Source organism: Homo sapiens, chromosome 15 (genome assembly GCF_000001405.40).
Source record: "Homo sapiens chromosome 15, GRCh38.p14 Primary Assembly".
Taxonomy (NCBI): domain Eukaryota; kingdom Metazoa; phylum Chordata; class Mammalia; order Primates; family Hominidae; genus Homo; species Homo sapiens.
Window position 1 is genome coordinate 35415883 of NC_000015.10, and position 25850 is coordinate 35441732.

The window sequence follows — 25850 nt, forward strand, 5'->3', positions numbered from 1 at the left end:
ACTAGAAAATACCTAAAATATTTAAGAGCCAAATTTCTTTTCTCTCAGAGTTAATAATAAAATAAACTTCATGTGTACCTATAGGTTTGGTAATGGGGTCTGTGTAAAGTTTAGTGAGGGTGTATATGCTGCTATGATTCATGGGCCTGATGTTTTAGACCATGGGTATCCAATCTTTTGGCTCCCCTGGGCCACACTGGAAGAAGAATTGTCTTGGGCCACATATGAAATATACTCACACTAACGATAGCTGATTAGCTGGAAAAAAATCAAAAAAATCTCATAGTGTTAGAGAGTTTACAAATTTGCGTTGGGCCGCATTCAAAGCCGTCCTGGGTCGCAGGTTGAATAAGCTTGTTTTAGACATTTCACACAGGGCAGAACAATAGAATCAACATTTCACATACATGAAAGATGGTTTCAAAGGACATCTAAAACCAAGGAACTAGCAGAATGTAAGAAATAAACAATTTTAAAACATATTTTTCAGAGGTTACGTCAGGTGATTTAGGTAGGTTTTTTTGGCATGAACAATGATTTAGGTGTTCCTATATCATGAGGTGATACTATTTAAACAGACTATAATTCTTTTCCATAAAATGTCCAGGTTTTAGTAATGAAACTACTTGTTTAAATTCAATATAATAGCCTGCAGACTCTTCTGAATGGATTTTTATACTTTAATTCAACACAGCATATAATATTTACTTCTATCAGGCTAACATGTTCCACTGTACTTGATTATAATAACTACATATGTCTTTATCTCCTGATGCCTTGCTGGTTACTTTATCTGAATATCTGAATACTTTATCTGAGCACAGTCTGCCTTTGCTTCAATTTTTCTGTTCATTAGAAAGTGACAAGTCATTGGGGACCTCATGATCACTGTCCATATGCCATGTACTGCAGACTGTTCATAGAATATATTTTCTTGGATAAAATCCAGAGATTCCTAGCAATTCCAGCTACCGTCCTTGCAAAAGCAACGGCCTGAAGCCACCCTGATCTTTGAGATCTCTTCTAAATCATCTGAAACTATTATGCACCGGGTGATATTAGGGATGTTAGGGATGTTGTAGGAAGATTATTCATCCTACTCCAGAATATATTCAGATATAGAAGTTTCCTCAAGAAATTCTTTAATGCTTAGCATACCAATGATTCCATAAATATCAAACTATTAATACATGAAAACAAAACTCATAGTAATTGTTTTTATAAGTATAAAGATTGAATACTTAATTTTCTTGCACTTCCACATATTCCACAAGTTTCCTCATTTACTAACATCTAAGCATTGTATGTACAGCGCTTATAATATTTACTTTCATTTCCCTAAATGGAATAAGGTAATTATTAAAATACTTTTAAAACAAAGATCTGAAAAAACAGATCTTTTTAGTGTGAAAAATTGTTAGCTTATCTATAATTATGAAGCTCTAAGATTTTAGTTTTTTATTTTATGTATTTTGGTTTTAGTATTTTCTAACTAGATGATAACACACAAAGATTTCTGAATGATCCTTCTTAATTGAGAATGGAAGGTCAGGGTCATATTAGCATCAATAAAATATATTTCTCAATAGACTTACTTTAGATTTTTGTTTTAAATGGTTCAGAGAGAAACATTTTAAAAAAAGTCAATGTCTGAGTTAAATTTTAACACAAAAGCTAGACATCACAACATCTCTATTTACTTTACCAACAAGAAGAACCCACTTACGTTTCTAAGCACAACTGAAGAATGATGCTAATATACCAATATATTTGCACTGAAATAATTCTATCCTATAAAATCATTTTAAAGTATATGAATATATAATAATATCTCAGTAAATTTAAAATCCATCTTACATATCCATTCCATTTTCAATTTCTAAGCAGTAGCCATTTAACTGGTAAATGCAGCTGGTCCAAAAGGCACAATTTTCTTTTTCTTTAAATAAACCCTAGTATCTAGACCCAATACAATTTCAGTATGCTTTAAAAATCTCTCTTAATCTTTGTAATATCATCATTCTCATTTTATTTTACATAAAACTGCATTACATTAAAACCTTTGGAGGAGCTATTAAAAGCCTCTGAAAAAGCCACAACAGCTCATGGGCTTTTTCAATGCAATTCAACTTTATCTAAAAGCTTCGATTTACCTCAGTCCTTGGAAAAGATTTTTCTTTTTTAAATTTATTCAATTTAGGTGTCTCTTTTCTAGTAAAGCTTGGGTCGTGAACAGACACAAACTGTGCTTCACCAAAATCCCAGCGGTCAGTACAATTTACCGCTTGAGCCAGTTAATTATGGAATGTGAGTCTTTATGTATATATCTCCCTACAAAAACCTTTATAATCACTGAGACAATTACATTAGTTAATGTTGACATAAATATCAATATCAAGAAATATCAATATTAATGAAGATTATAATCCATAGGATCCATGATGATGTTAAAGTACATTTTAACTCTAATACATGAATATATTACTTTGAGTTACTAACAATATTTTTGCCAAAGTGCAGAAAAAATTTACTGTAAACTCTGACACCTAGCCATTTCATCATGTCATACAGACATTCCTTGATGGAAGCTGGGTGGATGAATAAACTCACAAGACCTAGGCACTGATAACTCCATGCAGAATTAAGAAATTAATTAGGAGGAAGAACCATAATTTGCAGAGCTGACATCTATTTTACTTTACTTGCATGTATCAATGGGAAGCAATTACAATTCAATTAAAATATTCAATTTTATTACTTTACTTACTGACCTTGAAGTTAATGCCTGTTTTATTTAATTGCATCATCTATGAATAAATGTTAACCCTACAATGTTATGCTCCATTATTTTCAATGCATTTTTCAACTTCTCAGCTGAATTATATCAATTTATTATCTATGTCATGAAAGCAAGTGGAGGTTTATCTCTTCAGTACAGCCCAATACATGAAGAGAGAGACATCACAAAATGGTTAACAATGCTATTTTTAAGAGTCAAGTAAAGTGAATTGTGTTCTCATCTCAACCTTTGTAGCCTAGAGTTTTACTGTAAAATCAGTAGGTGATATTAGAAAAGGTATAATCACTCTGAGAAGCAATTTCTAGTCTGTCTATAATTCTTGATAAATCCACTGGATACAAGAACTGAATACCTCATGTACCTTTCAAACTAAAACACACACACATACACACACACACACACACACACACACACTCTTGAAATCTCTTCCTATCTCTACCAGGCTTACTGGCTAACAGAACAAGTAGATACCATTTTTAAAACTCGAATTGTTTTGTGGGTAAATATGATTTTTATTTGTTCCCAGACTCCCACTGAACACACCATTATTCTATAATTATTTTTAGAAATAAAATGACAGAATTTTTATTTAAAAGAACAGATAAGAAGACTGGTCATATAATCTCTAAAAAAATGAGCTTACATATATGAAAGTGACTATCTCAGGAAGGACCTTATTTCAAGTTTTCAGATTTTCCATTTCTACAGTTAGACTTAAATGCTTACAGCTCTTAGAGGTTGTGTTATGAGTTATCTCAACACGTGACTTCTTTGCTTTGAATGTAAATGTTTTAAATTCTCCAATCAAAAATATAGAGAGGCAGAATGGATGAAAAAGTGAGCACCAAACTATATGCTGCCTACAAGAGACTCAGTTCACCTTAAAACACCCTTATAGACTAAAGGAATAATAATAATAAAAAAGATATTCCATGCAAATAGAAACAAAAAGAGCAAAGATAGCTATACTAACCTTAGACAGAATAGGTTTTAGGTCGAAAACTGTAAAAAGGACAATAAAGGTTATAATATAGTGATTAAGAATCCAATTCATCAAGAGGATAAAACAATGGTAAATATATATGCACCCAACATTGCAGCACATAAATACATAAAGCAAACAAGTCTGAAGAGGCATAGACTGCAACACAATAATAGCAGGAAATTCAATACCCCACTATCAACATTGGATAAAACTTCCAGACAGAAAATCAATAAGGAAACATTGGGCTTGAACTACTTTAGGCCAAAGGAACCTAATAGATATTTACAGAACATTCCTTTCGACAGCAACAGAAGAGAAATTCTTCTCAAGTGCACATGAAACATTCTCCAGGAGAGATCATATGTTTGGCCACAAAAAAGTCTTAACACATTTAAGGTTAAAATCATGTCAAGTATCTTTTTCAACCACAATGCTATGAAACTAGGTATCAATAAAAGGAAGAATCATGGAAAATTGAGAAGTGTGTGAAAATTAAACAATATGCTCCTGAAGGAGCATATGACCCTATCTTACTGGGTCAAAGAAGAAATTAAAGGAGAAATTAAAAAACATCTTGAGACAAAAAAAATGCGAACACAATATCCCAAAATTTATGGGATGCAGCAAAAGCAGTTCTAAGAGGGAAGTTTGTAGCAATAAATGCCTACATCAAAAAGGAAGAAGGATCTCAAATAAACAACCTAACATTATAGCTCAAAGGATTAGAAAAAGAAGACAAGCCCAAAGATAGCAGAATAAAGGACATAACAAAGATTAGGGCATAAATAAATAAAATTGAGCCTGGCAAAACAATGCAAAAATCAATAAAACAGAGTTTTATTTTATTTTATTTTAATTATTTTATTTTTTAGACAGTCTCGCTCTGTTGCCCGGGCTGGAGTGCAGTGGCACGACCTCAGCCCACTGCAACCTCCGCCTCCTGGGATCAAGCATTCTCCTGCCTCAGCATCCTGAGTAGCCAGGACTACAGGCATGTGTCACCATGCCTGGCTAATTTTTGTATTTTTTAATAGAGACGGGGTTTCACCGTATTGGCCAGGCTGGTCGCGAACTCCTAACCTTGTGATCTGCCAGCCTCAGCCTCCCAAAGTGCTGGGATTACAGCGTGAGCCACTGTGCCTGGCCTAAAACTGAGCTGTTTTGAAAAGCTAAATAAAAGGGACAAACCCTTAGCTAGACTAAGAAAAACAGGGGCAGGACTCAAATAAATAAAATCAGAAATGGAAGGGGAGACATTATAACCGGTAACACGGAAATACAAAGGATCATAAGACACTACTTATAAACAACTGTATTATTAACAACAGTTAAATACAGTTAAACTGTATTTAACAACAAATTGGGCAATCTAGACAAAATGGATACATTCCTAGAAACCTATAACCTACCAAGACTGAATCACAAAGAAGCTGGAAATCTGAACAGACCAAGAATAACTATTGAGATTGAATCAGTCATTAAAAGTCTCCCATCAAACAAATGCCCAGGATCAGATAACTTCATGGCTGAATTCTACCAAAAATTTAAAGAGCTAATAGCAATGTTTCTCAAACTCTTTCAAGAAAACTAACATTGAAGAAGAGGGAATACTTCTAAACTAATTTTACAAGGCCAGAAATATTCTAAAATCTATGAGCTGATATTTTACTTCTGTGTAACACAAAGTAGACTTAGATATTTTATAGATTCACTTTTAAGATCAATGGCATACATGAAATAAATGATCAATAAAAAATATTAAGTATAGTTATGCAGTTAATGATAATAACTGCTGGTGATAGCTCAAATACCCCTTTTTTGTACATTAAAAATTACTGTAAAGTTTTTGGGGTGTACAGAACAAATAATAAGTGAAAGATGTGTGGAACACAGAGAATTTTTTTAAAAGAAGGGATTTGAAATATTTATTCCTGAAACATTTTCCTAATCTTTCTTATCAGTTTTCAAGATGATGAGTACTGGAAACTGAAAGAAGCTCGAGTAGAGAGTGTCTGAAGGTGGAAGAGTTGAAGCTAAAAATGTAGACAAAAGCCAGGTCCTATATAGCCTTCTGTTTCATTTTAAGGAGTTTATGCTTGAAAGTAAGGTCACAAAGAACACTGAGAAATTCAAACAAAACAATGATATGATCCAATTTGACTTCTGAAAAGATCATTCCAGCTTCAGTCAAGTTCCTTGGTAGAAAATAAGACTGAAGGTAAGAAGGCAAATAAACAAGGTGCTGCAATAGACTAGATGAGAGAGGATGTAATAGACAAAGCATTAGTATAGAAGAGAACAGATTTTAGAGCAGCATATGGTAGGTAAGATATATAATACCGGTGAATTGGATGTGGGGAATACAGGAGACAGAAAAGGGAATAATGAGTCTCAGGTTTTTGGCTTTGAGCAAATTAAAAGATGGTGGCACCAAGTGTTATTCCTTCAAATATATATATATATAAACCAAATAGATGAAGGTTTGGGAAGGACAATAAAGGGTGAATTCAATATTAATTGTGTTAAAATTGACATGTATTTAAGTTTCCCATGAATCATCAGAGAAGAGTTATCTAATTAGATTTTGGTATATAGAAACAGAAGCCATGAAGTGAAATCTCAAGAAGAATAGATGAAATGAGAAGAGAAGATACAGGAAAAAACCTTGAGGAATACCAGATTCTAATGAACTCATAGTAATAATGAAATGTTCAAAATGCAAATCTGGTCTGGTCATTTTCTTTCCCCATTAGCTTTATTGAGATATAGTTGAGAATTAAAAATTGTACATATTTAAGGTGTATAACTTGATGACTTTATATATGCAAACACTGTAAAATATTCACCACAATCAAGCAAATTAACATACCCATCTCCTCACACAGTTACCATTTGTGTGTGTGTTGTGAGAACACTTAAGATCTATCCTCTTAGCAAATTTCAAGTATACAACACAGTGTTGTTAACTATAGACACACTGTTGTACATTAGATCTCCAGAACTTGTTTATCTTGCATAACTAACTCTGTACCCCTTAATCAACATCTTCCCAAATCCTCCTCTCCATCCTCTGGTAACTACCATTCTATTCTTTATTTCTTAAGTTTGACATTTTTAGATCACACATATAAGTGATACGATGCAGTATTTGTCTTTCTGTATCTGGTTTATTTTACATAGTATAAGGTCCTCCAGGTTCATCCGTGTTGTTGAAAATGGTTAGATTTCCTTTTTAAAGGTTGAATAATACTTCATTGTATAAATATACCACATTTTCTTTAGACATTCATCTATTGATATACACTTAGGCTGTTTTCATATCTTAGTGATTGTGAATAATGCTAAAATAAACATGTGAGTGCAGATATCTCTTGGAGATATTGATTTAATTTCCTTTGGGTATATACTCAGAAGTGTGATTGCCGGATCATACAGTAGTTACATTTTAAAAATTTTGAGGAATCTCCATACTGTTTTCCATAATGGCTGTACCAATTTACATTCCCACCAACAGTATACAAGGGTTCCCTTTTCTCCAACACTTATCTTTCACTTTTCTGATACTCATTCTAACAGGTGTGACGTGATACCTCATTGTGGTTTTGATTGGCATTTCCCTGATGATTAGTGAAATTTAGTACTTTTTCTTATACCTGTTTGTCATTTGTATGTCTCATTTGGAGAAATGTCCATTCAAGTCCTTTGCCCTTTTTAAAACAAAGTTATTTGTCTTTTTGCTATGAAGTTGCATGAGTTCCTTATATATTTTAAATGTTAACTCCTTAACATATATAGGATTTGTAAATATTGTTTTTCACTCCCCAGGTTGCCTTTTCACTCTGCTCTTTCCTTTGCTGTGCAGAAGCTTTTTAGTTTGATGCAATCCTATATGTCTATTTTAGCTTTTCTTGCCTGTGTTTTTGGTGTCATATAAAAAAAAATCATTGTCCAGTCCAATGACAAGATTTTTTCCTTTGTTTTCTTCAAGGAGTTTTACATTTTTGGGTCTTGCATTAAAGTTTTAAATCCATTTTGAGTTGAATATGGTGTGAGATAAGGGTTTTAAATCTATTTTGAGTTGTATATGGTGTGAGATAAGGGTCCACTTCTTCCACATGTAGATATGGATAATTTTCCTGGCACCATTTATTGAAAAGACTATCCATTCCCATTGTATGTTTTGGCACCCCTGTGGAAGATCAGTTGACCATAGATGTGTACATTTATTTCTAGGCTCTCTATTCTATTCCATTGGTCTCTATACTTGTTTTTATGCCAGTGCCATTCTGTTTTCATTACCCTAGCTTTATAATATGTTTAGAAATCAGAAACTGATTCCTTTGTTCTTCTTCCTAAAGATTAATTTGGCTACTTGTGGTCTTTTGTGGTTCCATATGAATTTTGGGATTTTTTTTTCTATTTTTATAAAGAATGCCATTGAGAATTTGATAAGGATTACATTGAATCTGTAGATCACTTGGGGTAATATGAACATTTTAACATATTAATTATTTCAATCCAAGAATATGGCTGTATTTCCATTAATGTTTGACTTTTTAAATTTCCTTCAGCAATATTTTACAATTTTCAGTGTGCAAGACTTTCACTTCTTGGTTAAGATTATTCCTAATTATTTTATTCTTCTTGTCGCTATTGTGAATGTGACTGTTTTCTTGATTTCCTTTTCAGATAGTTTGTTATTTGCATATAGAAATGCTACTGATTGTTGTATGCTGATTTTATATTCTGCAACTTTACTGAATTTATGTATTAGTTCTAACAGGATTTTTTTTTTTGTCAAGTCTTTTCAATATGTATGATATTATCTGTAAGTAGAAATAATTTTGCTTTCTTCTTTCTAATTTGAATGTCTTTTATTTCTTTTTCTTGCTTAATTTCTCTGGCTAGGATTTCTAGTACAATGTTTAATATAAGTGGCAAGAGTGGGCATCCTTGCCTTGTACTGTAATCTGATAATTTTCTATTTCAAAATCCTTCAATAATACTTCTGGGCAAGATGGTTATATAAGCACTGGCATCTAATTCTTTCCTTTTCTTCTCTTCCCAATTGAAAACACCACTGAAAAGATTACTGAATAAAGGAGAAGAATATATCAGGACTGAAAAACTGGGAAAGAATACTATGAATATACCTAGGACTTGAACTTAATCCTGCTTGAGTGAAGATGGAATCAAATTAATAGAAAAAGCTGTCCTTTGACTTCTCCAGTACAAGAATAACTTGCTAGAAAAGAAAGTACAGGAAACTTTGGAGAACCCTGATTACAGCCTCCTTCAGACCCTGTGTTGTGAGATAGAATTCCTTATCTGGTTCTCATGTAAAATTAAACTGAATGTGACCTACGTACATTTCTGCAAATGTACTCACATATAGTTGAGACAGCAACCAATACAAGTAGTATTTTCTATAAGACAATTCACTGGAGGACAAGCCCTGCAAATGTTATAACATACCCTTGCTCCAAGAAGTTTTAATACATAAATGTTGGGCTCTCAGCTAAGATAGTATGTCTCACTTTCCAATCATGCCAAGTAAGAAATGGTATTTGTATTAAGGTACAAATATCCTCCTGGACAGTACAGCCATTAAATAATCTGACTACTACATAGAGAAACAGAAAAACACTTGCTGGTTTACCTTTTCAGAAGGAGTTTTTAATTAACTGTTACATATTATCATGAAAGCTATTATAGTGTAAGTTGCCTGACAGAGCCATATGTTTTACTACAGAGGGTTAACTTTCATACTAGCATTCATTAAAATAGAATCTTTTCCTATTTATTTGTAAATATTACAATTAACATATTTTTTAAAGATCAGAAGAAATTGGAGCCATTGGTTGAGATACAGGTAGAAAGACAAATTTTAGAATTACGATATAGTGCATATTTCTTGGCAGGTAATATATATGTATAAAACATACCTATATACATATCTAATGTACATACATATCCATATATAAGATATATATGGAAGTGTGTGTGTATGTGTGTGTGTGTATGGGTGTGTGTGTGTATGGGTGTGTGTACAAAGTAGCTTTGGGATGGATAGACTCAATCTATTCCAAAATTCAAGAAAGACATCCTTTCCATGTATATCATATATATATATATGACATGACATATATATATATATATATATCTCATATATCCATATATATCCTATCCATATAACCAGCACCAAAAAGTTATATGCCTAAGTTACTTTTAGGACAGCCTGCCTTACCCAGTGAAGAAAATGATATGCTAGCAATAAAATAAGCAAAACCAGCATTTCCTTCCCCTGCTGTTATAATCTGTTACTCCCCTTTATAAACTGAGCAAATAGAGACTCTCTTCAGGTGGCTGTGTGACTACTGGTATTTGTATTTGAAACTTAAGGAAAGACTGTATCACACATACAGTACTCGAAATTTGTATTTAACTCTTTTTTTTTCTTAAGTTGAAAATGGTAGATAATTTACAACACATGTTGGGAGTTTTGAAAGTTTCAACTTTCGATGTTTCAATACTTCAGTTATAAAATTCAAAAATTCTCTGCTAAGGTACTTTGCATAAAGGTAGAAATATATTCAAATCACAATTAACTCTACTTGAAAGCACATTAAGTAACCTTTTTTAAACAAAATAATTATTTGAACAAAGTTCAGGTGTAAAAATGTTAACTATAGAATATAAAAGAATAATACAAATTGCTTTTAACCTTTACTGTTCAGCATTCTTTTCTAAGAAGGTTATTGCAATGAATGATTTTAATTATGTCCATTATTAGCCAAATAAATGACAGAAGAACACGATGTGTAGAAGCATTAATTAACATACCTTATCTTGGCTTATTGGGGCAGGTATGAAAGAGGAATAAGATTAATGTAAAATATAGGAATTACCACAGGTTAGTATGTGTAGGAGTAGAACTCAGAAATTGGGAAGGCTGCACAATTCAAGCTCATGTTCTAATTGGTATGGGCATCTCTTAATGTTAACCCAAAAGGTGAGACTTCAAAAAGTATATGTTAAAAATCTGAAGAAAAAATCTGGTTAGCAGCCCTCTGAGAGAAAAGTAAAAAGTTTAAAGAACCATCCAGGTTTCTAGGAAGACATATAAGGACACTGGCCATGAGAGATATATATACTGTGACATTATCTGAAAGGTCAAAAGAGAAATTTGTGGATGGTTTAAAAAAAAAAAAACAACCTTGAAACAATTCCATAGAGACATTTATGAACACGTTGAAAATATCTAAAACATCTTATAACATGACATTTTTCCCCCTGAATTAAATACCAAAAATGTACTGTCAGGGGAAGAAAGAATCTAAAAAAAAAAAAAGATAAAAAAAAAGACAAAAGGAAACACAAGGACTAAATAGACACCATGAGTGGTAGGACTAACGGCTGAGTTTCTCCTCTGGTAATGAGGACAGCAAGTAAAGAGGATGTGAGGTTTAGAGGATGTAAGAAGCAGAGAAGTTTAGTTTAGTTTTATTTTGCATTGACCTCTGCTGTACAGGAGAGTGAGGAAACGACTATTCCAAGGGCACTTTCTGAGAAAAACAGTGGGGTAGTAGTAGAGAGCAATCTCCTAGGAGGAAATAATAGAGCAACTTGAGAAATTCCACAGCAATAAATCACCATGGCCAGATGGTATTCAACTGAGAGTTTCTGAAGGAAATAAAGTGTGAAATGGCTGAGCTACAGATGAGGATATGCAATGTATTTGGAAAACAAGCAAGTATTTCCAAATATTGCGATTTTGCTAATATGAAGCTTTTCTTTCAGAAAGAAAAATAATCGAATTAAGATTTTATGGAATTACAGACCAGAGGCTCTCTTGGTGATAATGGAGAAACTGATAGAGTCTAATTAAGAATAGCTTCCTTCAACATCAGGATAAGGTTAACCTGCTAAGGTCAAATTGCCCACTGAGTCTATAAAGAGAACACTGTTTCTCTCCATCCTATTAAACTTATCTGGAAATGTCAATAAAATACTAGATAGAAGTAAACCAGTAAATGTAATTTATTTGGGAATTACATGAAGCTTTAAACAAGGTCACATGAGAGTATTGGGGAAAATAAATAAGCACAGTCTTTGGAAGGAAAGGCCACAGGAGAAACTTCTGTCATTAACTGTAAAACTTGCTAAGTAATGAAAACAAAGTTTCAGGGACAATTTCTCTTTCTTTTCTTCCCTACAATGGGGTTACCTCTTCCAGAAGCATAGATCACCTTCAAATTAAAAAAAAGAAAAAATACACAAAAAAGGAATTTCACTGCAGACAAGAGGCAGCCTAAGAATATGGAAGGGAAGATGAGCTCCCAAACCAAGAAGGAAAGTAGACCAGGAGGCAATGGCATAATAAGCATGCAGCAAGATTTTTATGTATCAAATAGAATCGGAAAGCCACACGAGTTTAATTTTCTCATCACTGTGTCTGTGTAAGCATCAAATTTTAATGAAAACTAACAAGTGATAAAGTAATAAGACAGTTTTTTTATGTATTTAAATGAGGGCTGTCTCCTTTGAAGTTGTCACCTTTGAATACTATATGCTTATCCAATAGTATATAGCTTATCCAATAGTTTGATGCCCTGGATCAAACTACTTCTAAAAATTTTTCTATAAAACTGTCTTCAGAGCCAGTTGCATATTGTTTTGAAATTATCTAATGGAGGCAAATCTTCATCCTTTAAGGGTGGAGCCAGAAGCCATCAAGGAAGAATGGAATTTCTCTCCAAAAAGCAAACTTAGTCTACAGCTAAAACAGTTCTACACACTCCAATTAACTCTTCTGTCAAAGAAGCAGTATTATACAGGAAAAAAACAAGGGACATGCAGTAGAATCTTGAAGAAATCTACCCATGGGCCTGGGGCAATCTCCTGGGTCACAATTTGGGAGCTCCAAATGTTAGAAAGTTTCTATGCCACACACGCTAAGACCTGTTTCACTGTATAACTTCCACTTGCTCTTTGAATTGTCCTCTGAAGCCAAAGAAAGTACCAGTGGACTTTCAAACATTGTGAATTGCTATAAAAATCCTCATTCTCGTTGGCCCAGTAACCTGCTGCCTTTACTTCAGGCTAAATATATAGCTCCTTTAAATAGCCCTCATATGGTACCACTTGCTTGTCCTTTCATTGTTCTGGTCACTCTCTACTCACCGAATTACATTTGTTTCTGTGTCCCACTTTTATGCAATCTTTCCCTTTTACAAAAAGCAATTTCTGTTAATTGTAGGAAATATAGAAAAACATAAAAAAGAAAATTTAAGTTTTTCATATTATAAAATTTCTGAAGATATGTTGCTAATACATTATCATTTTAGTTTTCAGGATTTTTTCTATGAATGACTTTTGCACAGAATTGAGATCCAATTGTTTACAGAATACTGCCTTTTCCTTAAATTACTACAGCCACAACCTTCTTAAATAAAGGTACCTATAACAAAACACAATGTTCCACATTAACTCTGTTAATAGAACCCCTTAGATCTCCTTAGCTGCTTTGGCAGCCACAATGTACCACAGACACATATTAAGCATACTGTCATAAAACCTCTATGACTTTTCTCTTCAGTGCTATTGTTTAGCAATATCTCTCCCATTTGATTTTACAATGTTGGTTTTAGGGACTGAAATTCAGAACTGTTTATATTTACCTCTATTTTGTTTTACCTCGTCATTTTTAGTCCCTAATTCCAATCATTTAATATGAATCTGAATTCTGATTCTATTATTCAAAGTATTAGCTATTTCAATAACAACTGTGTCACTTGCAAATTTCATCAGCATGCCCTTCAAGTGCTCATTCAAATAGCTGTTTAAAAGAGTGAAAAGTGTTGAATAAAGAAATAATGATATAATACGTCAGTAGGGTCCTTTTCCCATGTTGATACTGACCTACTATCAACTTCATATTAGGTCCATTTGTTTAAGTAATTATGGGTTAATTATTAAGTCATTTGTTTTATCTTACCACCCTTACATACACACATTTTTATAGATATACAGAATATGGTATCTTTCCTAAAGAGATGTGTCTCTGAAAAACTATATAAGGGAATTAAATTACATTTTAAATATCAAACAGAATTCAATATTGAAAGGATATCTGTAATGAAAAAATCTGTTCCTAATATGAATAATATTTTGTTAACGCTGTTTTATCTTAGCTGTTACTTTGGTGTGTAATATTTACGAGTTAGAGTTGCAAAATCAAAACACTGATTGAACAGAAGCTGGATCCTAGAAGATTGTGGATAGAAGACCGAAATCCAGTCTGTGGGGGAAAAGAACAAGAAAAAAATTCATTTGTTAATGTGGATCTGGATCTTGCAGTAAGTTAACCTTGCTAATTTGTTTGTAAAGGCTGAATTTAAAAAGAAATCATCAAAAATGATATTGACCTGTTCAAATATATGTTAAGTGAACCTTAAAGTTTTCCAGTGAAAGTAAATTGAATGAAGGGGAAAAAGGACAGAAGCAGTTTGAAGTCATGTGAATGCTAATGAAGGAGGGACACAGAAATAATAATTGCACACTATCAGCAGCATTTTCTTTTCCTGACTGGAGTTTATTATTTGTTAATGCATTCATTGCTACTCAGTTTATAAAGTACCTATGGTTATTTACCTGAAAGATAAATAGGCAACTTGTACTTTAACTTTTTTTTTGCCACTTGATATGTTAAACAACCTTCATACTGAAAAAAAAAAAAAATGCAATTATTGAAGCACAGCTGAATGGCCCCAGAGCACACAGGCTCCATTAAATTTGCTTACATCTAATGACTCCTGCCCAAGGCAGGTGAGAAATTTATTCTGATAAGATCTTTTCTTTATCCTGTAGCCAAAAAAAAAAAATGAAATAAAACCAGTGATTTTTAATCTAATCATGATCTAAAACTATTTGTGGTATTTGTTCTTTAAGACCCTATAAAGCTGGGCTTTGTGCAATAACCATTATAATTATGTTTTCAACTGCTTAATACAAACATTTCTTTCCAGAAAAATTAGTGTAAGTCATCATCAATGTCAACTATAAATGCATTTCCTGTAATTTTCAAGTTAAATGTTTTAAGGTCAGTTAAAAAAATTATTATTTAGAAATTGTGACACTGCTCCAGTTTCCTAAAACCCATAGCTGTATCTTATCTGAAATATCTTTAATGTGACAATGCAAATAAAAATGTGAAATTACAAGTACAGTATAGGAAGCCAAAAGACCCAAGATTTACCCAGTTTAGACAGTGGCTTTTATGAGCCTGTCAAAAACAAAAACAAAAACAAAACCTCCTACTTCCAGTTCCATTGAAAACCATAGACTTTATTTTTCTTGCCTATATTCCATCTGTTGTGTGAAAAACTCTCAATAATTTTTAAAGGTGGAGAAAAGAAAGAGAGGTAACTGAATTTATGTTGCAGCACAGTTATATAACACCCAAGATTCTTCTTTGTCAAACAGAAAAAGCGGCAAACGAAGGATATGAAAAAAGCTTAACCAATGAATTCACTTGTTCACATACGTCAAAAGTCATTCATAATTACCCCTATACCTATCTAGCAGTAATAATGTGTGTAATATGTTAAACTGTTCAAGAAACTTTTGTACCTATGGCCCCATTTTAGTAGTAAATCTTTAGGATAAGTAGTAAAACAATGGTTTTACTGATAAAAGGGAGGTTATGAAAATGGAGGCTCTGGGGTGAAGTGAATTCTCCAGGTTGCAAGGTTAACGAGTGATTAAATCAGGAAAAAAAATGTACAGATTTTGACTTTGAGTCCAGTACTCTTTCCTGAAAATCAAGTTAAGCCATAATCAAATAAAGAAGTGCTCCTTAAGCTAAGGCACATAAACAGCAGGGTGCCAGAGGCTATAAAGACCCAAATTAACTAGGTATACTTTCCTGGAACAACAATTTTGTTACAAGAATTAGAGAAAAAAATCCATAAGAAAGGAATCCATAAGAAAGAAATATAATGGGGACAAGCATGTTGATGTTAGACATAAATTGAAAAGTCTAAGGAGAAATGACAGTTAATTATCATAAAAAGCAGAGAGTAGTCCTAAATCTTGGCTCCCCTTAGAACCAATCACTTGGCAAAGTTTTTTTTTTTGGAGATGGAGTCTCGCTCTGTCGCCCAGGCTGGAGTGCAGTGGCGCAATCTCGGCTCACTGCAAGCTCCGCATCCCAGGTTCACACCATTCTCCTGCCTCAGCCTCTGGAGTAGCGGGGACTACAGGCGCCGGCCACAACACCCAGCTAATTTCACTTGGCAAACTTTTGACAAATACCAATCAATACTTACTATGACTCATCCCAGAATAACCAAGTCCAACTATGTGGGATTGGGGCTGCATATAATAAATATGTATTCAAAGGCTCCTCAGGAGATTCTAATGTGCAGCCATGGTAGAGAACCACTGATGTAATGCTATAAAGGTGGATGAAGAAAATATGGATAAGAGTCTTCCAGATAAACATAAAGCGTAGAGGTATATGAAATTAGAGGAATATAAAAGAAGAAAAAAATCTATATGATGTTTAAAATGGGTAAAAATGTGAACTATTTCATGGAAGAGTACATTATTGCTTTACACTCCTGAAAGAGGTGCTAGTCTTCCTCTTTGGTAGTGTTTGCTGCAGTGGGTTTTCTGTCATCATTCACTATCCTCCTGGATACGTTTTTTAGATTCACATCTGTAATAGAGTTCTTAGCCATGCACAGTTCCTACCAGAAATTAACCCAATGAGCACAACCAGAAAAAGAAAGAAGAGCTTTATTATGGCAGTTGGGATGACAGAAATATCAAACTGAAAGCATTTCCTACATCCCAGGGAGGGCAGAAACAGGTATATTCATAGAAAACAGAATTATCAACAACAAAAAAATACACACATAAGACAAACAAAGAAGTTTTCAGGCAAATTACTTACAAAAGGGGAAAACTCAAATTATCCATCAATGTGTTAGCTTTCTTATGTTAACACAAAAGAAAGATAATTGGGGCTGAGAGGAAGAAATGAAAATATATACAATTCTTGAGAAAGGTACTGAAGACATATTCCACCTGAATGAATTAAGAAGAAAATAAAGGGTTCAATAGGAAAGTCATATTGAGTACACATGGACACAAAGAGGGGAACAATAGAAACTGAGGCCTACTTGAGGGTGGAGGTTAGGAGGACGGTGAGGGTCAAAAAACTGTCAGGTACTGAGCTCACTATCTGGGCGTAAATGACTAATGACTAAATCATTTAAACACCAAACCCAAGTGACATGAAATTTACCCATGTAACAAACCTGCACATGTACCCACTAAACCTAAAATAAAAGTTGAAAAAAAAGAATAGGGAAGTTGTGACATAGTGGTAAATGCCAAAACCCAGTCACATATATAATTGTGTCAAAGAAGTTTTGCAAATCAAAGTATTAAATACAAATGTCAAATTCATTGTTTAAAGAGAAGCAATATATATAACTAATAGTATTTAACTGTAAAGTCAGTAATAATATGGGTTCAAACTTCACAAATCAGAAAAGGTAGAAAAATGGATTGGAAAAATTAAAGGATGATAGCAATTGATATACACACCAACAAGTATAGGCAAGGATACAAACTTGCTTTCGTTTGTTAGAATAAACAAAAACTTAACTTTATGAAGATAGCTTTTCAAAGCAGGAGAAGTAGTGGCATTCTCTTAGCAGAAAGCCAAGACTCCAGGCCTTAAAATTCCCTTGAAGACATCTGGCTAATAATGAAACTGCAGAGTTATAGTAAAAATCCCGTTGAGTCTCTCTACACTGGGGTTGGCAAGTATGTTCCATAAAAGGTAAATATTTTAGGTTTTGTAGGCAAAATTGGTTCTTTCACAATTACTAAATTCTTCCATTGTAGCATGAAAACAGCCATAGACAATAATAAATATACATGTTGTGTTCCTATAAAACTCTATTTCCATATATAGGCAGTGAATCAGATTTCACCCTAGTTTAATGACTTCTGCACTAGATCAGTAGTTCTCTTCCTTGGATTCATATTAAAATCAATTAATATTGAAGCTCTAAAAAACTGCATGTATCTGGGTCCCATCCCCAGATATTCTAATTTAATTAGTCTGGAGTGCAGTTTGGTCACTGGGATGTTTAAAAGCTCAACAGGCTACAATGATGTGCAGCCACAGTTGAAAACCATTGTTCTAAGAACTTGATTTGGGCCCTTAATATATGTGTCTGTGGAAGAGAAAAGAGAAGGGAGGTAGAGATATCTTTATGTGGTTGTGACATTCCCAAATGTACTGTACAAGGCTGCCCTCTACAATATATAAATCAACTGTCAGGGTACCAAAGCATCTTGCCGTGAAAATGTTTATATCCATCTCTACTATCAGCTTATAAACTAGTACAAATCAGACTCAAAACAGCAGATACATTTCTGAAAAAAATACAGCAGGCCAGTTTGAGTCAAAGGTCAGTCGTTTCTATCTCTGGGAGGTAAGGATACCTAATACGACTAGGTCTCTGGTCCACTTATAGGCCTAGTCTCTTCAATTCCTTATATTGATTAGGAAGTGATAAAAAGGGACTATTACAACTTTGATGTTGATATTTTAAAAATCATAATTTAAAGAACACCTTTGAAAAGATTAAAGCTAATTATTAATAGAATGCATTACTGCCAAAACAACAGAGGGCACTAAAATATTCCATATAGCAAAAGGTAGAAAATAAAGGGAAAAGCAGTAAAACAAAAAATTGATGACATAAAATGAATAAAATAAGTAGAAAAATTAAGAAATAATTAATTGATTATATCAGTAAAAACAGTTAAACTTTTTAAGACAAAGATTGGGTCAATAATAAAATCCAATGTTACGCCAATTATAAAATGCATCTAAAAGTATATGCACGCACACACACATAGAAAAGTGAAAATGAAAGAACAGGCAACAATGTATCAGGCAAATGTAAAGAAAGGTTGCAGTGGTCCTATCATTAACATCAAAACAAAATTCAAAGCAATAAAGATGAAAAAATATATAATTAAGAAACATAAATTACTACTAAGGCTTTTTTTGTTTGTTTGTTTTGTTTTCTTTTTGAGACAGAGTCTCACTCTTGTCGCCCAGGCTGGAGTGCAGTGGCATGACCTCAGCTCACTGCAACCTCCGGCTCCCAGGCTCAAGTGATCCTCCAACTGCAGCCTCCCAGATAGCTGGGACTACAGGTATATGCCACCATGCCCAGCTATTTTTTTTTTTTTTTGTACAGACAGGGTTTCACCATGTTGCCCAAGCTGATCTTGAATTCCTAAGCTCAAGCCATTTGCCCACCTGAGCCTCCCAAAGAACTGGAATTACAGGTGTGAGCCACTATGCCTGGTCACTAATGAGTTTTGGTGAGTTAAGTAATACTGTATTGTTAGAAATAAAGTAAAAAACTTCCTTCCCCAGTAGAATGGTCGATTATCTACACGACCCTTCCACAAAAATACACCTGGGTGCTGCATAACATTAAATCAAGTTTAGTCTAAAGCTGCCTCCTTACATATTTTAAGTTTGACCTAAAGGTATCTCTGTACATCGTGAAATACAACAAGTAGAGGTGTAAACACACCATAGCCTACACGTGACAATTACTGAGTTTTGGACAATCAAATGTAGACAACTGTTCGAATGGCTTCAAAAAAGGCAAACATTGAGCAGTAATTGATAGATGCAGGAGGCAGAAAAGGGAACCTGCACAGGGTTTTGCCTGGGCATGCCTGCAACAGACTGGGGGTCTGCATGAGCACTGGGAGAATGGGGTAAAGCCACCAGGAATTCATGCCTTATGCAGGGGGAGGAGTCAGGCCTCTTCAGCTCATGTGTGGTGGCCTGGTATTCAATCTGTGATGTGGGTGCATGTTGGCAGGACCCCCTCTTTCTTTTCTGAGAGCATTCTTTTTGCCTAATAAATCTGTCCTCCTCACCCTTCCATGTGTCTGTATGCCTAATTTTTCTTGGTTGTGAGACAAGAACCCAGATTTTTAGCTGAAGGAGCAAAAAATCTTGCATCATTTTGGTGGTCCATACGGGCATATGAGGAGGGGTGAGTAAAATGTGGACCAAAAAATCTCTTTTCCTTTTGTTTCTGAGCCTTCTTGTCCTTGGACTTCTTCTGAGGGTAGAGGAAACTGTGGTCCCTTCTTCGCTCTCGGGGTTTGGGAATGTCAGCCTTGGTCCAAACCAGCCTTTTCTATGGCATTTTCCTTCTTTTTTTTGGGACCGTAATGGCACCTATCTTTTCTTTTACTATAGCAGTCATCCACCTCCACCCCAATGGCTGTAGGTGCACATATGGCCATAGCTGCTGCCCTGGCCCCAGGGCAGTCTCAGGGGCCAGAGGCCCTGCACGTCCAGCTGAGCAGCATACCTCGCGACACCTCCATGGAGTCCCCTCATTCCCTGGCCGAGGGGTCTAGCTCAGTCCGACAGCAATTGAAAGCTTCTTTCCTGCTGGGCGCGGTGGCTCATGCCTGTAATCCCAGCACTTTGGGAGGCCAAGGCAGGCGGATCACGAGGTCAGGAGATCAAGACCATCTTGGCTAACATGGTGAAACCCCGTCTCTACTAAAAATACAAAAAATTAGCTGGGCGTGGTGGTGGGCGCCTGTACTCCCAGCTACTCGGGAGGCTGAGGCAGGAGAATGGCGTGAACCAGGGAGGCGGAGCTTGCAATGAGCCGAGATGGCGCCACTGCGCTCCAGCCTGGGAGACAGAGTGAGACTCCGTCTCAAACAAAACAAACAAAAACAAAACAAAACAAAACAAAACAAAACAAAACAAAAAAGGTTCTCTCCCTGTTCGTCACTGCACTCCAGCCTGGGTGACAGAAAGAGACTCCATCTCATAAAAGAAAAAGTTTCTCTCCTGTTGGAGAAATCCATTTGCATAAGAATAAGAGGTTTCTTGCTCAGGCACCTTTTTCTTTCCTCCACCCTGTCAGCAGTGAATACAGCTTTGCATTTAAGTTTTTTTTGTTTTTCTCCATCCTGTCTCAGTTAAGACAGCCCTGCCTTTAAGTTTTTTTTTTTTTCTTTTCTCCACCAGGTCAGGAGTTAAGTTTTATGCAAGAGGCTTTTTTTTCTCCCCCTTTTAGAGGACATTTTACTAGGCCAGGACACCCTTTTCTCTCCCTTGTTGGAGGACTCAATTCCACAGCTTCTCCTTAGCATTTGGCTTATGATAAGGAGTCCATGCAACCCCCGAGACACATTTTTGTCCCAAACTCAATTCCAAGTTTTGGAGCTCGAAGGCTACTAACAGCAGGGGAGACAGGGTGTACGTGGGTAACAGCAGATAATCCCACTCCCTAGGCACCCATGTTTACATGGGTGAAAGCCACTTTGACGCCCATGGTGGCACCCTGTCACAGTTGCTGGGCCTCAGGGATACTCAGACGAAAGAAAGAGGGATGCCTCACTTTCTCTCCCTCACATATCCACGGTATTCACTAGGAAGAAAATGGAACCAGGAACGCCTCGCTCCCCTCTTTCTAGATGAGTAGCCATTCATCTTCATTGTGAACCTCTTTTGAATGCACCCTGAGTCCTGGGGCTCCTTTGAAAAAAATGTCTTCTTTTTCCTTTTTCCTCCTCTGTCCTTTCTTCACAGATGAGTAATTGGGTCCCCCTACAGGACAGTCCTCTTGGATGTATGCTCCAAACTGGGAGAAGTTAATTTCCCAAACCTTAAACTGGTTGGCTTGGGACTGAGCTTGGAGGAAGGGAACCCCGGAGCCTGACATGCAGGCAAAAGAGTAAACTTTTTTCTTACCAGTTGGGCTTTTGGCCTCCCTCTCCTGGTGCAAACCGGTAAAGGGAATGGTAAGGATCACTGTTTATATTTTCTGTAAAGTTTTAATTATGAAAAAGGATTTGTGAGGCTGGTCTTAAGCTATAGCCAAACTGGTGTGCTCTGCATGTCACTCTGCATGGTTCTGTCAGAAAGAGGGGTACCTTAGGATGAGATACAGGCCTAGTACTCCACAGGCCTGTTGTTCAACCCAGGCCAGCAAACCAGTCAGTGGCAAACTTTGCTGCAGGCCTCTATCTTGTTTTATGTCCTTGGAAGCATGACCTGTAACCATGTGGCAGTGCTTTGTTCTAGCCTCTGCCATTTTACAATGGCAGCCTAGGTTCAGTCCTGGCTTAGGGAATGAGTTCTTTCTGGTTTGATATTTGCATGACCTTTACCATTTGTTGATTCTCTTCCCCTCCACAAATCACCTTGAATTTTCCTTCCTCTGAGTCCCTGGGAGGTTACCTTGGTAAAATTTGAAAGCCAAAATACTGGCCACTTGGCATGGTTAAAGTTGGATAATAAGGGATTTAAATGGATTTTCATAAACAGCGCTGAGCTAAATTAAAAATGGATACCCAAGTCATAGGTATATTTAAAGACCTTTATATTTTTCTCTTCTTGTATCTCGTTTTTCTGGAAAAAGTTTTTTTCTCAGTTGACTAAATTCTTTTCTCCATTTTGTCTTGCCACCCTTAATACACACATGAGAGGCCCTAAGATCATTTCTTTTCTTTCTTTTTTTGAGATGGAGTCTCTCTCTTTCGTCCAGGCTGGAGTGCAGTGGTGCGATCTCAGCTTACTGCAACCTCCATGTCCCTGGTTCAAGCGATGGCCTGTGATTACTTGGGAAAAACAGAAAAGGTGCCAAGGATTCCATTTTGGGAGAAGCCTCCGTTTTCCTCGTGGAGCCCCAGGAATTAGAGGCGGATGAATCTTTCTCAAAATTTGTTTTTGTCTTCCAGCTTTACCTGTTTATTAGGTCCTAGAAACTGCATGCTTTCCTAGCCCTACTCTTAAAGGGCCCCATTTGGAGGCCAATAGCCCAGTTAGGAGATTGGCAAACAGAATATCCTATAACTATTGGATCTGCTTCTGTTTGTCTGTGTGGTTATATATATGTTGTGTGTGATGTCTACAAAAAGAGAGCTCTTATTAATTGGCCTAAAGGAAAATAAGCACCTAGATCAAATATCTTTTAAAGGGAAGATAAAAAGTGTGGTGCCCCTTTTAGTTCATGTGACTTTAGTCTTTGAGAAACGGAAACAGCCTTGGAGATTACTGGTAAAATGCAAATGCCATCAAAATGTAATTTTTTACCTGGGTTTATAGGATTATTTTAAATTAGGTAAAATAAAGCCAAAGGTTTAAACAAGTTGTGGAAGGTTTCTAAAAATTAATCTTGCAAAAGAAATTCTGTGTGTGAACACTGACTAGATTCAAAAGGGTATTATATGGTTTTTCTGTAAATTGAGCATTGAAATAAAAGCACAACAAAGTTTTCCTAAGGTACTAATCTGCTTTTTAGCAAAATTTATAAAGAGTTATAAAAGGTTTATGACGATCTCACCTCACGGTCAAACTGGTTAAGACTGGATAGAATTGTCTTTAAGATTTCATTAGAAAATTAGGGTTGATATTAATAGCTGAAATGTTGATGAATATCAAACAGAACACGAGTTAATGGAATGGACCGAACTAATGAAAAACTGAGTAAGCTTTTTAAACTTTTCTTTAAAACACTGCTGATACTTATTTTGTTTTCAGAGTCAAGGCAACTTATTTTGAGCTATTTATAGCCTTTAATAGAGTGGGGTATACTCCTGTGAACAAAATTTGGAGCATATTTGTTTCTCTCTGCCTGGCTTCTCTAGTATTTGGACACTGTCAGCATTCTTAACTTATGACAATATGGTTATTTGCATCAGTGCAATAAGAATCCATTTTCTCTTGCAACAGGATGCAATCGGAGAAACTGGTTGTTTTATCAAGGCTTTGACTGGAAGGGTATGCTTCCTTTTAAGGAATCAAGCTCAACTTGCAGATCCAATAAAAACCGCTTGGGAAAACTGTCTATAGTAGATACCCTGTCTACATAGTCCCTGTACAAAGTTCCTAACCTGTGGTGAGTAAAGAATGTCACTTGCTAACAGGTCCAGGAGCCCATGTTCTTGGGACCTCAAGAAGAGAGGAGTTCACCCAACTCATAGTCATTAAAGTGTACAAACCCATGGCAGGGCTTGGCTTTAAAAAAGGAAAAAAAAAAAAGTCCTATCTGAGATTCCTTGTAGAATAGAGTTCCATCAAATCCAATTTAAAAAGCCCATGTAGAAATAATTATTCTTTGCTCCACATTACGCAAATAATCAAGCCAAGTATGAGACTAAAGTTATTTTGCAAACAACTCAATCCTATTATGCTTTGTTTTTAACAAAAATGAGGACTGGAGAGAAATTATGTTTCAAAACTTACATATTTATCATTAAATTCCAGACTGATTAGTTGTTTTTTAAGTTCTTGCCTACATTTTAGGCTTACACTGCTTATTCCTGTGAACCAACCAGCAATCTCTGGCTGCAGCTCAGAAGGAACAAAAGGGATGGGTAATGTAAAAATCTGGTTCAATATTTTAATTCTGAGCAATTATCCTGAAAATCCTGCCAGGTGATGGGAGTAAATAAGGTGCCCATAACCTGGAGGTTTCCTTTTTGGGAAAATAAGACAAAGAGGGCTAACCAAAGCCAAGCCCCATGCACCCAAATCTTAGCAACCCTGACTATAGTCACCAGTTATCTAGGCATGTCAACAGCCTTGGGATTTAAAAACTGTCCTTACCCACCCCTTTTTGTTTCGTTTTGACATGTTTTCTAATAACCAGGTTTGTCTCCTCTTGCCTTCAGGCCATCGAACTCCAAACAGTCATGCAACTGGAGCCTCAAACAATGGCCCCCTTTAAGCGGGGAACCTTAAATAGGCCTCTGAGGGAGATCTGATTCTGTCTTCCCAAAACAGTACCCCCTCTGTCAGCAGTATGCAGTAAAGATCAGTCTTTATCCTTATCCCTATCCTTATCCTAATGGCAGTTATATGTCCTTCTTTAGAAGGGGGAATGATAGAGGCAGGAGGCAGATAAGGGAACCCGCACAGGGTCTTGCCTGGGCATGCCTGCAACAGACTGGGGGTCTGCATGATCACTGGGAGAATGGGGAGGAGCCACCAGGAATATGTGCCTTATGCACCAAAAGCAATGGCAACAAAAGCCAACATTGACAAATGGGATCTAATTAAACTAAAGAGCTTCTGCACAGCAAAAGAAACTATCATGAGAGTGAACAGGCAACCTACAGACTGGGAGAAAATTTTTGCAATCTATCCATCTGACAAAGGACAAATATCCAGAATCTACAAGGAACTTAAACAAATTTACAAGAAAAAACAAACAACCCAATCAAAAAGTGGGTGAAGGATATGAACAGACACTTCTCAAAAGAAGACATTTATGCAGCCAACAAACATATATATGAAAAAAAGCTCATCATCACTGGTCATTAGAGAAATGCAAATCAAAACCACAATGAGATACCATCTCATGCCAGTTAGAATGGTGATCTTTAAAAAGTCAGCAATCAACAGTTGCTGGAGAGGATGTGGAGAAATAAGAATGCTTTTACACTGTTGGTGGGAGTGTAAATTAGTTCAACCATGGTGGAAGACAATGTGGCAATTCCTCAAGGATCTAGAACCAGAAATACCATTTGACCCAGCAATCCCATTACTAGGTATATACCCAAAGGCTTATAAATCATTCTACTATAAAGACACATGCACATGTATGTTTACTGCAGCACTATTCACAGTAACAAAGACTTGGAATCAATCCTAATGTCCATCAAAGATAGACTGGATAAAGAAAATGTGGCACATATACAGCATGGAGTACTATGCAGCCATAAAAAAGGATGAGTTCGTCGCCTTTGCAGGGACATGGATGAAGCTGGAAACCATCATTCTCAGCAAACTAACACAGCAACAGAAAATCAAATACCACATGTTCTCACTCGTAAGTGGGAGTTGAACAATGAGAACACTTGGATACAGGGAGGGGAACATCACACACCAGGCCCTGCTGGCGGGTGGGGGGTTAGGGGAGGGATAGCATTAGGAGAAATATCTAATGTAGATGATGGGTTGATGGGTGCAGC

The 25850-nt window shown here is 35.7% G+C and overlaps 1 protein-coding gene and 1 long non-coding RNA gene across 12 annotated transcripts in view; both read right to left on the minus strand.

Moving 5' to 3' along the window:
- The window catches only part of DPH6 (diphthamine biosynthesis 6), a 401189-nt gene that overhangs the window by 270906 nt on the left and 104433 nt on the right, over positions 1 to 25850 (minus strand). The window lies entirely within an intron of this gene.
- Positions 873 to 20368, minus strand: LOC124903464 (uncharacterized). The gene is made up of 2 exons (XR_007064580.1): positions 14439 to 20368; positions 873 to 14085 (listed from the first exon to the last, which is right to left on the minus strand). It is a non-coding gene; the product is annotated as an uncharacterized LOC124903464 (long non-coding RNA).